General features: G+C 45.5%; 1 protein-coding gene across 2 annotated transcripts in view; it reads left to right on the top strand.

Annotated features, from left to right (window-relative positions):
- The window catches only part of ZNF445 (zinc finger protein 445), a 45,966-nt gene that overhangs the window by 14,816 nt on the left and 17,085 nt on the right, over positions 1 to 14,065 (top strand). The window contains exons 2-7 of one of the 2 annotated variants that reach the window (NM_181489.6): positions 4,491 to 4,611; positions 7,159 to 7,734; positions 11,373 to 11,541; positions 11,893 to 11,987; positions 12,282 to 12,408; positions 13,232 to 13,342. In NM_181489.6, coding sequence (NP_852466.1) covers positions 7,306 to 7,734; positions 11,373 to 11,541; positions 11,893 to 11,987; positions 12,282 to 12,408; positions 13,232 to 13,342 — 931 coding nt within the window. In that variant the 5' untranslated portion in view covers positions 4,491 to 4,611; positions 7,159 to 7,305. The remainder of the gene's footprint in view (positions 1 to 4,490; positions 4,612 to 7,158; positions 7,735 to 11,372; positions 11,542 to 11,892; positions 11,988 to 12,281; positions 12,409 to 13,231; positions 13,343 to 14,065) is intronic. The other variant, NM_001369454.1, reaches the window with a different exon arrangement.

The following is a 14,065-nucleotide window of genomic DNA, read 5'->3' as shown; positions in this document are numbered from 1 at the left end:
AAATTTTTTTATTACCCAACTTTAGCCATACCAAGTGGCCAATATTTTTGGCTTTTGAATTTTACCACAGGTAACTTCCCACATGAAATTAATCAGTTTTCACTAATGTTGTAACTTAGCCATGGACACACAGGTGTCTCAAAGAGATGGTAAGCAGTTTCTTTTTTTTTTCTTTTTTTTTCAAGATTTAGAATCTCCCCCAGGGTGGTTTAGAGAAAGGAAAATTCAAGATAGGAAATCAGAAACTATCCATGGGTGGGTGGGGAACCTCAATAAATGGCAAAGTTACATAAATAAAAAACCAGACAGGAATCATTCTGGAAGCCAAGAATAGAATCCAGGCTGCCATTGTCGAAAAGCAAAGCCTTAGCTACTGAGTTAGAGCAATGAGCGGTTTCTACTGTTCTTCCCAGAAGGAGGCTAGAGAAGCCAATTTCAAGCTTGCAAAGGTGTTTAACTACTCAAGATAATTTTTAGGGCTACCTATGACATGAGCCTCAAAATTCCTGTCCTCTGGATGGCGGAAACCAAGAGAAAGTATCCCTACATTGTCACAAGGTTAAGCTCTTGAGGACAGAAAACAAGACAAAGAAATTTCATACAATATTGGTTTCGGAGACCCGTAGCAAAGTAACTGTCCAGCCTGCTAGGCTGGCTTGAAAAGTGGACTTATAGGGGTCCTAAACCCACGTTCTATCTGTGATAGTCCTTTCGCCATTACAGAACACAGACAAATTCTTAGCACAAAGTACACCAGGTTTGCTACCGCCAAAGACTAGTTTCTATTAAACAAACCCTTGCAGAGAGACAAATAGTGACATTTACCATTTACCCAGACAGAGAGAGAGAGAGAGACCAGAAACTTGGCTGGTAAGCATTTCTTACCCCTTTTTGCCGGTATACCAGGTTTCTGGGCTCCCTTTCTCTGCATCTTCCAGAAGAATGGAGCAGGTTCTGATGACCCTGCTCACTGCGCCATAGCTGTGGGGTTCAAGCCGCTTTACAAGAGAAAGTCACTCTTTCCTGTTTTATGAAACATAGGCAATATTCTTAATTTGCCCAACAGGCTGCATGGGGAACCGAATTAACATTTTCTATCCCAGCAAAACACACATAACAAAACAAACATTAGTCACCTTGTTCAGCACCCAAAGTCAACCTGACGAAGCTCAAACTTTTTCCCATTGGTCCCTGTTGTCTTTGATCCATACCAGGTGGGAAAGGACAACCTATGAATGTTAATTCACAATGGGGTCTCTGGGCAAGGGGAAGAGCAGATAGTCACCCCAAGAGACAGACCTGTTGAGCGTTGAGTCTTCTTTAGAGCTCATCGAATGTCACCAGACAAATAAGGAAGGTTCTTTGAGTTAGGCCTGCTGGACTTCCATCAGCAACCCCTCTGAGATCCCTTCCACATAAACACATGCAAAGATGAGACAGACAGCCTTCTAAATCAGATCCCTAACCAAGCTATCCTCCTATTCTCGGTCTGAGAAACCTCCTCGAAATCTTCCTGATTGAGTAGAAGTCTTCCAAACCAGGACTCTTCCTCCTGGTTAGAAGGAGCACTTCAGGAGCCAAACAGACACCCAGCAGTGGTGCTACAGACACAGACACCCCATGGTAGAGCTACAAACAGACACCCCGTAATGGGGCTACAGACACCACACCATAGGGCTACAGAAGCTGCTGGGAGAAGGAAGGAGGCATTGGCAGCGCCTAGGATACTCACCAATGCAGACACTCTGCAGTGGGGCTACAGACAGACACCCTGTGGTAGGGCTACAGTTAAGGGATGTCCCCCCAGGACTATTTCTCCATTGCTATTAAATCTGTGCACATGGGGTCAGCAGTGCCCCGCCAGTAGAGAGAGTACCAGAATCAGCCCCCAGTTCCAAAAGAACTAGGTGGCTGCTTGGGCTGGCTTCTGGATCCATCGCTGGAGGGGGGCCACTGAACCATGGGCAGGTAGCTACAAGGGCAGTCCTGGACAAGCCCCCAAATTTGTAACCGCCCAAGGAGTAAACTTTGCCTGCTGCTTAGACAGAGCTGATTCATCAAGACAGGGGAATTGCAATAGAGAAAGTAATTCACACAGAACTGGCTGTGCGGGAGACCAGAGTTGTATTACTCAAATCAGTCTCCCCAGGCATTCAGGGAGCAGAGTTTTTAAGGATAACTTGGTGGATGGGGGGAAGCCAGTGAGCCAGGAGTGCTGATTGGTCAGAGATGAAATCATAGGGAGTTGCAGCTGTCTTGTGCTAAGTCAGTTCCTGGGTGGGGGGCCACAAGCTCAGATGAGCCAGTTTATTGATCTGGGTTGTGCCAGCTAATCCATCAAGTGCAGGGTCTGCAAAATATCTCAGGCATTGATCTTAGGAGCAGTTAGGGAGGGTCAGAATCTTGTAGCTTCCAGCTACATGACTCCTAAACCATAATTTCTAATCTTATGGCTAATGTTAGTCCTACAAAGGCAATCTAGTCCCCAGGCAAGAAGGAGATCTGCTTTGGGAAAGGGTTGTTAATCTCTATGTTTAAACTATTAGTTTCTCCCAAAGTTAGTTCCATCCGTACCCAGGAATGAACAAAGACAGCTTGGAGGCTAGAAGCAAGATGGAGTCAGTTAAGTTAGATCTCTTTCGCTGTCTAAGTCATAATTTTGCAAAGGCGGTTTCACTTTTCTTTAGGCCTATTGTTGGGCAAGTAGGTTGTTTTCAATGTTATGTTACAGAGTGCTCTAGTGTACACTCATGTAAATGTCTATATACCGTGCATCTATTTTTCCAGGGTAGATTCTTACTTTATTTCATTTTTCAATAGAAACGGAGTCTTGCTGTGTTGCCCAAGCTGGTCTTGAATTCCTGGGCTCAAGTGATCCTCCCATATTGGCCTCCTAAAGTGCTAGAATTACAGGTGTGAGCCACCACACCTAGCTCTCACAGTAGATTCTTAGAAGGAAAGTTCCTGGGGCATGAAGAATGTGCCTTTTTATTGTAAATCTTTAACTAGAATTCATTTTTTTAGTGTGTGGTTTTATTTGTTATTTAAATTTGGCTAGCCAGTTGTCCCAATGCAATTCATTGAATAGTCTAATCTTTCCCACTGATTTCTAATGCTGCCTCTATCATAGACCAAATATATATGTATGCATAAGCCCATGTCAGGATTCTGTATGTACTGTTTCTTCCATCTACTATTTGCGTATTCCTTCAGTAATACTCAGTGTTTTCATTAATGTAGCTTTATAGTAAGCCTTAATATCAGGTAGAACAAATATTTTCACCGCTAAAAAGTTATCTTGGCTATTCTTGGCCTTTTAGTCATTTGCTTGAATTTTAGAATATGCTTATCAAGCCCTAAGAAGAGATGGTGGAATTTGGTTGGGATTTTATTAACCACACATTACCTTAGGAAGAATTGTCATCATGAAAAGATTTGTCTTTCCATACTTAAGATTTATTCAGGTCTATTATGTCTTATGTTTATCTTTTAAGATCTTGTACATTTTTTATTAGCTTTATTTCTGGGTGTTTTATTTTGTTGATTAATTTTCTGATTGTATTGCTCAATTTATTTGGCAGAGCAGCTCACAAAACTCAGGGAAACACATTTATCAATTTATTATAAAGGATGTTGTAAACGATACAATAAACAACTAGATGAAGAGATACACAGGGGGAGGTCTGGCAGTGTTCTGGGTGCAGGAGCTTTTCTTCCTGTGGAGATGGGATGTGCCACTATCCTGGCACATGGATGAGTTCTTGTTCACTTTCCTGCAAGCCTCCACAAGTGCAGTTGTCCATAGCTCTCTTTACCCCATCCTCTTGGACCTTTTATGGAGACTTCATTGGATAAGCATGATTGAAGCATGGACAACCATGTAAAACGTGACTGGACAAAAAGAGTTTGATCTCATATTAATAGACTGAGTGGGGACATTCAGGCTGTCAGTTCAAATTCTTCTTGGCCTCTCCGCAGCATTTCTGCTTACTGAGTATGAGGCAGGACTCCTGAAATGGGCATCTTATGACCTACAATCCGATACAATAGGTCAGAGAATTTACGGCCAGCAGAAAGACAGAAAAGGGGGAAGATGACTATATATTTTTAGTTTCTGTGGCCTGCCTTGGGGAGAAAAAGGAGCAGGTGAAAGGAGGGGAAGAAAAGGTCAGAGAGAGGTGTTCTATTTTCTGAGCCCTGCTTCTGAGGCCTAAAACGCACCAATATTATAACAAAAGGCTGTCTTACCTTTATCACTCTGAAGTTCCAAAGCTGCTTTGGGAATCAAGGACAAAGCCCAAATAATTTAACAGAAGATATGCTTATTGTTTTAGTCACTTGGGAAATAAGGGCTATGGGAGTTAGGAGCCATGAACCATGGATAAAAACCAATGTGTATATATATATTATAATATCACAGGTATCAGGCGTAAGAACTATTTGCCTCATCCTAGATCCTAAAGGTTTTCTCCTATGTTCTTTTTTTTGAGGTGGAGTCTCGCTCTTTCGCAAGGCTGGAGTGCAATGGCATGATCTCGGCTCACTGCAGCCTCCGCCTCCTGGGTTCAAGTGATTCTTCTGCCTCAGCCTCCCGAGTAGCTGGGACTACAGGTGCGTGCCACCATGCCCAGCTAAGTTTTGTATTTTTAGTGGAAATGGGGTTTCATCATGTTGACCAGGATGGTCTTGATCTCTTGACCTCGTGATCCGCCTGCCTTGGCCTCCCAAAGTGCTGGAATTACAGGTGTGAACCACTGCGCCCAGCCTCCTGGATTGTTTTCTAAAAGTTGTATAGTTTTATGGCTTACGTTTAAGTCTGATCCTTTTTTTTTTTTTTTTTTTGAGACGGAGTCTTATTCTGTCGCCCAGGCTGGAGTGCAGTAGTGTGATCTTGGCTCACTGTAACCTCTACCGCCCAGCTTCAAGCAATTCTCCTGCCTCAGCCTCCTGAGTAGCTGGGATTACAGGCGCATGCCATCACGCCCAGCTAATTTTTTTTGTATTTTTTGTATTTTTAGTAGAGATGGCGTTTCACTGTGTTGGTCAGGCTGGTCCCAAACTTCTGACCTCGTGATCCACGCGCCTAGGCCTCCCAAAGTGCTAGGATTACAGGTGTAAGCCACCACACCCGGCCAAGTCTGATCCATTCTGAATTCAAGTGTACAAGAGGTGAGGTTTTGGTCAGTTTTCCTTATTTTGCTTTTAGATGTCCAATTGCTCCAGCAACATTTGGTGAGAAGACTACCCTTCCTCTTTTGAACTGCTTTTGCATCTTTATCAAAAATCGATTGGAGATCAGGCTTAGTGGCTCATGCCTGTAATCCCAGCTACTTAGGAGGCCGATGTGGGAGGATTGATCACCTGAGGCCAGGAGTTTGAGGTAACATAGGCCTCATCTCTAAAAATAATTTTTAAATTATCTGAGTGTGGTGTCACATGCCTGTAGTCTCACCTCCTCTGGAGGCTGAAGCAAGAGGATCGCTTGAGCCCAGGAGTTTGAGTCTGCAGTGAGCCATGATCACACCACTGCACTCCAGCCTGGGCAGCAGAAAGAGACCCTGTCTTTAAAAAAAAGAAAAAAAAAATCAGTTGGGTGTATCACAGGTGTGGACTCCTCTACATAGTGATGTGATTCGTATAGCACAAGCTCCTTCCCCAGGTATGAAGAAACAAACATTCCTTCAGAGCCCGAAATATACTCCAGATAGTCCCTTTTTTGAGATGGAGTCTCGCTCTGTTACCCAGGCTGGAGTGTAGAGTGCAGTGCCACGATCTTGTCTCACTGCAAACCTCTGCTTCCCAGGCGCAAGCAATTCTTGTGCCTCAGCCTCCCGAGTAGCTGGGATTATAGGCACATGCCACCATGCCCAGCTAATTTTTTGTATTTTTTGTAGACCTGGAGTTTTGCCATGTTGGCCAGGCTGTTCTCAAACTCCTGACCTCAAGCAGTCCGCCCACTTCGGCCTCCCAAAGTATTACCTCCTGAAAGTGACTTGAACCCTTGGACACCACATTTTATGATGAATTATAAAAAGAAATACAAGAGTTGAGTGGGAAGCTGGATTAGTAGTTTTCAAATTATAATTTGTAACCCATTGTTGGGTCGTAAAATCAACTAGGGGATTGGATTCTCAGGATTTTTTTGTTTTTGTTTTTGAATTGCTCATTTGAGATATTTTAAAATATTATAATAGCAAAATCACATTTGATATTTAAAAAGTCAGTTGGGCATTCTTGTGTGGTTCTGTTTCTGGTTTTTCTATTTTATTCCATTGACCTATGTGTCTCTTCCTCCACCAGTACTACACAGAATTGATTAATATAGCTATAAGTCTTGAAATCAGGTAGACTGTTTTCAGACTGATCCCTCCCAATTTATTCTTCCTTGTCATAATTGTTTTTTGGTTTTGTTTGTTTGCTTGCTTGCTTGCTTGTTTTGAGACAGACCCTTGCTCTGTTGCCCAGGCTGGAGTGCAGTGGCACGATCTTGGTTCACTGCAACCTCTGCCTCCCGGGTTCAAGTGATTCTTGTGCCTCAGCTTCCTGAGTAGCTGGGATTACAGGCACGCACCACCATGCCTGGCTCATTTTTTGTACTTTTAGTAGAGACGGGGTCTTGCCATGTTGCCCAGGCTGGTCTCGAACTCCTGAGCTCAGGCAATCCTCCCACCTCCGCTTTCCAAAGTGCTAGGATTACAGGTGTGAGCCACCATGCCTGACCTGTCATAATTTTAGCTATTCTAATCCCATTGCCTTTCCACATAAATTTATCTATGTCTACAAAAAATCTTGTTGAGATTTTGGTAGGATTTGCATTAGACCTGTAGATAAATGTGGAGAGAATTTACATCTTTACTGTGTCACATCTTCCAGTACATGCATACGGTATGTCTGTTCATTTATTTAGATCTTCTCTGACTTTTTTCATCATCCCTTTGTGTTTTTTACGAAGTTTTAATGTATAAGTTCAGTATATGTTTTATTGTGGGGTATTTTCTTAGCTTACTCCAATAGGGGACAGCCTAGCTCTGGTCTACTTGATACTGGCATATACCTTTGTGCAAACGCTCTTCTTATATATACAAAGATGATCCCAACCAGCAGAATCCAACTGCACCATGTATAATGGACATTATTCTCTCATCCCCTCCTGCACAGAAATGCTGGTAATTTCAGTCACTTGCTGATGACTTCTGATGTCCCAGCAAATGTTGGCATTGTTGACTGCTGAGAAGATACTTCTGAGGACCCACGTCTAAGGTGGACTTGGTTCGCACTCTTCTGGTTAGTCCCTGAACAGGAGTGATGCCTCCAGGCAGGTGGCATGCTGCCTATCCAGCTCAGGCCCAGTCTTCGAGGGAGCGAGGGCGGCTTCAGACAGTAAAGAAGGAAGAAGAGGATGAAAGCTATACTCCAGTGCAGGCTGCCAGGCCACAGACTCTCAACCGCCCTGGCCAGGAGCTGTTCCGCCAGCTCTTCAGACAGCTTCGCTACCATGAGTCTTCAGGGCCCCTAGAAACTCTGAGCCGGCTCCGGGAACTCTGTCGCTGGTGGCTGAGGCCTGACGTTCTCTCCAAGGCACAGATCCTAGAGCTGCTGGTGCTGGAACAGTTCCTGAGCATCCTGCCTGGGGAGCTCCGGGTTTGGGTGCAGCTTCATAACCCTGAGAGTGGCGAGGAGGCTGTGGCCTTGCTGGAGGAGCTGCAGAGGGACCTTGATGGGACATCCTGGAGGGTGAGTGTGAGCAAGTGTGTGGTGCCCAGGGAACTCTGCCTGCTAGTGAGCCAGCTTGTCTGGGGATGGGGGTGGCCCTCTAAACTGTCAATATAGAGGAGTGCAGGGGAAGCCTTCCTTTCTTCCCATGGTACCTGAGCAGCTGAGAACGGGACCCTGAGCCACGGACCCTTTAGCAGGTATCCTTTCCTACCTTCCCAGAGGAATATCAGCTCCAGATAGGGTCAGCAAGTCTCCATAAATAACAGCAACTTCTGGGCACAGTGGCTCACACATGTAATCCCAGCACTTTAGGAGGCTGAGGTGGGAGGATTGCTTGAGGCCAGGAGTTCAAGCCAGCCTGGACAACATAGGAGGACCCCCCCACACTGTCTCTATACATAATTTAAAAATTAGGCCAGGCATAGTGGCTCACACCTGTAATCTAAGCACTTTAGAGTCCAAGGTGGGCGGATTGCTTGAGTGCAGGAATTCGTGACCAGCCTGGGCAACATGGCAAAACCCTGTTTCTACAAAAATTAGCTGAATGTGGTAGCATGTGACTGTAGTCCCAGCTACTTGGGGGACTGAGGTGGGAGGATCACTTGAACCCAGGTTAGGTCAAGGCTGCAGTGAGCCGTGATTGCACCACTGCGCTCCAGCCTGGGTGACACAGCAAGACCCTATCTCTAAACAAAAAAGCCCAGTAACTAGTCTTTGGACACAGTGGCTTACAGTATACAAAGTCCATCTCCACATATTATCTAATTTGACTTGAGACTAACCATAGCCCTGTAAAGTGGTGGGTGTTGGGACAGCATTTAGGGTTAGGGCTCTTGGCTTCTCAGTGGGAGAGTACATGTTAAAACTCAGAAGAGCGCTCTGCAGGCACCATGTAGCTTCCTTCTCAGTAAGCTTTTTTTTTTCTTTTCTTTTCTTTTTTTTTTTGAGGCATACCCCACCACTCCCAGCTAATTTTGTTTGTATTTTTAGTAGAGATGAGGTTTTACCATTTTGGCCAGGCTGGTCTCAAACTCCTGACCTCAGGTGATCCATCCGCCTTGGCCTCCCAAAATGCTGGGATTACAGGTATGAACCACTGTGCCCAGCCCTTCTCACTAAGCTTTTGAGGACCTTTTCTATGTGTGTGAGATGGGAGGCAGGGAAGATGGTCATGAGTGCTGAGGGGCAGAGCTGGGCTGAGAAATAGGAAGACCTCGATTTTAGACTTCATTCCACAACCTCAACATCTGTGGCCACATAGTTGTACCTTTCAGAGCCTCTGTTCGTTGAGAAGAAAATGCAGAAATGGTTTAATCGTGAGAATTTGTTCGGTAAATATTCAAGTGCTTATCATGTGCCTGGCCCTGGCAGAGTTGGCAGTCCCAGGCCTGGCAGGAGAGCAGCAGCTGGTCAGTTCAAGTGCGTTCGTTCTTCCTGCCCTTCTCCTGCACACAGGGGAGCTGATGCTTCCTGTATTGTTACAGTTTTTTAAAAAAGCATTTATCACTTTTTTAAGGCTTCTTTATATAAAAATACATGATTCTGGCCAGGCGTGGTGGCTCACTCCTGTAGTGCTAGCACTTTGGGAGGCCAAGGCGGGCAGATCAGTTGAGGTCAGGAGTTCGAGACTAGCCTGGCCAACATGGTGAAACTCCATTTCTACTAAAAGGGCAGAAATTAGCCGGGTGTGGTGGTGTGCACCTGTAGACCCAGCTACTCAGGAGGCTGAGGCAGGAGAATTGCTTGAACCTGGAAGGTGGAGGCTGCAGTGAGCTGAGATTTCACCAGTGCAGTCTAGACTGGGCAACAGAACAAGACGCTGTCTAAAAAAAAAATTAAAAAAAAAAAACATATATAGACATACACTTTCATACATATACATATATATATGATTCTGCACACATAATTCATGTATAAATGAAAGTTGTAGCTTGGCGCGGTGGCTCACGCCTGTAATCCCAGCACTTTGGGAGGCCGAGGTGGCAGATCACAAGGTCAAGAGATCGAGACCATCCAGGCCAACATGATGAAAACCCATCTCTACTAAAAATACAAAAATTAGCTGGGCGTGGTGGTGTTCGCCTGTAGTCTCAGCTACTTGGGAGGCTGAGGCAGGAGAATTGCTTGAACCCAGGAGGTGGAGGTTTCAGTGAGCCGAGATCACGCCACTGCACACCATCCTGGCGAAAGAGCAAGACTATGTCCGAAAAAAAAAAAAAAAAGATTTCTGAAACAAATTTGACATACTTGTCCCTAAAACTTTATTATAAAAATTAAATCAAGTAAGACATCAGGACATGGTCTACCAGCAGTAAATGGTAATAAATAGACACAGGGTATAACTAATAGAAAATATTTTTGCACAACATGGGGTACTATTTTAAAAAATTTAAAAGAGCATTTGTTATTTTTACCAAAACAATGAAATGTTCAAAAGGACCTGATAATAATTTATAAAAGGAAATGAGGTACACAGTAGTTACAAAATCATGGCTTGGTTATATTCAGCTCATTTACAGCTAGATGTAATTTTAAAAATCCATGAAAACATTGCCACATGAGCAGAAAGGGCCTACCTGGTTGAAAGCTACTTAAAAGACAGTGGGGGCTGGGAGAAGCCCCTCAAATTTGGAAAATGAAGAGAAATGCTTTAAGATATATGTAAAGTCACAGAATCGTTCTGTGGTTCAGCAAAATTATCACAGTGTGAAAAACCAGGGCCCGAGAAAGTTTGTCCTTAAACTTGTTTTGCTGTGCTTCCATATTCTTTTTTTTTTTTTTAATTCTTCCTTTATTAGAAGAATAAAAAACGGGAGATAAATTATTGTGGTCAGTTCATCATCTTTAGTGTGTATCTCTGTATCAGATGATTAATGGCCTCAGGCTGAGATTTGTCCATATTGGTATAAAGACTGTCTCGGCCACAGGACCAGAAAATCTCAAATTGTAGTTTCCTGTACTCATCTCTATGTGAGGGACAGCCTTGCCTCAGAGACCAGAGTTATTTGAAGTCTTAGGGCAAATGCTTCCTCTTTGTTGGTCTCTACTTAGATGGACACTGCCATTTTTTACACTGGAGACTTTCTTCTATGGTTCCATGGCTGACTCTCATGATTAGCATTGCCTCTCTATCAGTGTTATTATTAAAAACAAGTTTACAATTTGGGAGCTAGCCTGCCTCTTTGAGTTCACTTTGTACATCAGTGCCTAGAGCAGCACTTGACAGTAGATATTACTTGACTGTATCTCCACTGTGAACCATTATGAGTTTAATTCTCAGGAACTAGTTCCTTCTCTCTCATTTCTAAGTTACAGGCCTGGGGTGGGAGCTGAGGGGTAGTGGGAAGGTGGCACTGTGTCATCTGAGGCCTGACAAGAGTGCTGTACTGAGTTACCATGTGCTTCCTTGTGTTGAGCTGGAGTCTGTCTCTACCTGGACTCTCCCATGACCCTCATTAGAGCCCAAGGAGGCTGAGGTGGTTGGAGGTACCTCCCTGGGCGTTCTTCTTGCCCTTTCCTCCTGCCTGGAAGTAATAAAGGACCTGGCTTACCTATCCCTCGGCCTTTGTCCTTCAGAGATTGGTCATGTGGTCTCTTCTCTGAGTTTGCTTTCTGATTCCCAGAAAGATCCTCTCACAACATTTTCTTCTTGCCAGGACCCGGGCCCTGCCCAGAGCCCAGATGTGCATTGGATGGGTACAGGAGCCCTGCGATCTGCACAGATATGGTCCCTTGCTTCACCTCTCAGGAGCAGCTCTGCTCTGGGGGACCACCTGGAGCCTCCCTATGAAATAGAAGCACGTGACTTCCTGGCTGGGCAATCCGGTACTTGCTGCCTGGCCTTAAGACCCCAGCCTTATGCCACACTTCTTGCATTTCCTGTAGTGTTGTCTTTCCACATCTGTCCTCTCATGAGAATCTCCTTCTGTCCTGGCCCTTAGCTCTCTGTCCTCTCCATCCATTCTATAACCTATATGTGGCTTGCTCCTCCCCCATTACACCCCCCATCCCACTACCCCTTTCCTGGCCCCAGTAGACTGAGGACATGTGAGATGGGTATTTAACAACATTATGTACCTGCTCATGGGTCCAGGAGTCCTCTACTGGGGGGAAGAGTGGGCTTCTCACTGGGCTGTCCAGAGCTGAGCCGCTCTCTCATGGCTTTTTCTCCTTCAGATACTCCTGCTGCCCAGATGCCTGCCCTTTTCCCGAGAGAGGGGTGCCCGGGAGACCAGGTAACACCAACCAGGTCCCTGACAGCCCAGCTCCAGGTGAGCCACAGAACATTTGGTCCTTCCTGATGTCCCCACGTCGCTGCCTAATGGGATAGTGCAGCTTCCCCATCCTGGGTTTCTCTGTCTAGTAATCTCACATCCAAAGACCCGTGTTCCAGAGACCAGATTATCCCCCTCAAGCCCAGAGGTCTTCTGCTGGGTGATGGTCTTCCCTTTCACCTTTGCCAGGTCCATCCTGCACTCACACAGAGCCAGTTTATTCCCCTTCTCTCCCTTTCCACCTCAAAGCTGGGAGCTGTGGACCAGCTCTAGGGCACAGTGTTTTTTCAGGAGACCATGACTTTCAAGGATGTGGAGGTGACCTTCTCCCAGGACGAGTGGGGGTGGCTGGACTCTGCTCAGAGGAACCTGTACAGGGATGTGATGCTGGAGAATTATAGGAACATGGCTTCCCTGGGTAAGTAATCGATATCCTCATGCTTCTATCCATCTTTATTTCTGCCTTCTTGGGTTGTTCTGTGCTGCATAGAAAGGTACCTGACCTGGTTTTAGATCCTGGCTCTGTAACTGCTGACCAGATCACTTAATCTAGCACCTTGGTAGCCTCTTTTGAAAAATGGGGAGAATAATGCCTGCCATTCTGGATTATTGTAAAGATTAAAGGTGGCTGGGTGTGGTAGCTCACACCTGTAATCCCACCACTTCGGGAGGCCCAGGTGGGAAGATTGCTTGAGCTCAGGAGTTTGAGACCAGTCTGGGCAACATAGTGAAACCCCATCTCTACAAAAAATACAAAAATACAAGCATGTGGTACGCACGCCTGTAATCCCAGCTACTTGGGAAGCCGAGGCTGGAGAATTGCTTGAGCCCAGGAGGATGAGGCTGCAGTGAGCCAAGATCGCACCACTGCACTCCAGCTTGGGTAACAGAGTGAGACCCTGTTTCAAAACAGACAAATAAAAACAACGGATTAAAGGTAATATGTTTTAAGTTCCTAGTCTGTTTAGACATTCAAAAAATGTTGGCTGATGTAACCAATTAAGTAGACGTGTGGTTCTCACCTCTGGAAAATTCTAGTAATCCTTTTGTGGGCAACTTCTATCAGTCTCTCTTATCTCTGCTCAGGGCTATTTGAAATGACTGGGCCTCCTTCGCTAGCTTCTGCTGCCTGCCTTCCTGGTCTTTCCCACCTTCCCACCAGGACTTCAGGCCCAGAGGTCCTGAAGAGTAGTTCTGTGTCATCCATCTCCCTTCTCATGCCATTCTCTTCTCTTCTGCAGTGGGACCATTCACCAAACCTGCTCTGATCTCCTGGTTGGAAGCAAGGGAGCCATGGGGCCTGAACATGCAGGCAGCTCAGCCTAAGGGGAATCCAGTTGCTGCTCCTACAGGTGAGTTCCAGAGAACCTGCCAGGTCCTGCTCCTCCTGCTTTTACTTTTCTCTTTCTTAAGGTCAGTTACATCACTGGGAATTTACTCCATTGTTTGCTGGAAGGAAGATCTTTAACAGTGTTGGTAAGGGTGCTTGGGCCACTGGGTCTCTTCCATCCTGGCTGGCCTCCGAGAGGTCATTCATTTCCGGCCATGTCTATTCTCCTGTCCCCTTCTCACAGCAGCCCTCTCAATAATAGTTCTTGCCTGCTGGAGGGCTTCACTGTTCCTGTCTTTCACTCACTGATGCTCCTCCTCACTCCTGGCCTGCACTCCTGCTGAACTCCTGTACTCACCCCTTTCTGCTCTTAGGAGCCCTCATCCCACTCCTGTTCTTTCTTTTCTTGGTCCTTCTTTTTGTAATAGGCTGATCTCCAGCCCTTTCAGCCAAGTGCTCCTTGGAGCCCCACCCCTTGGCTTTTGGGTACCTTTCTATAATGCCATGATTTTTCTCCCACTCTGGCTGTTTAACACTTTCTTCTTAATCCTTTTTATTTCCCTGCTGGATGTGACGTCTGCATATCTCTAGCTGCCCTGCCCATCTTGCTTTTCTTCTCCCTTCCCTGTAATCTGGGATAATCTTCCATGTTTTGCCTTATGTTTGACTATTTTATAAAGGTATTGGCAGTCAGGCAAAAGCCTCACCACCCAGACATTTTATTGCCCTTTGGTGCTTTCTGCAG

The sequence above is a fragment of the Homo sapiens genome, chromosome 3, assembly GCF_000001405.40.
Source record: "Homo sapiens chromosome 3, GRCh38.p14 Primary Assembly".
NCBI classification, from domain to species: Eukaryota; Metazoa; Chordata; class Mammalia; order Primates; family Hominidae; genus Homo; species Homo sapiens.
The sequence above is the reverse complement of the archived record's forward strand: the minus strand, read 5'-3'. Positions and strand labels throughout refer to the sequence as shown.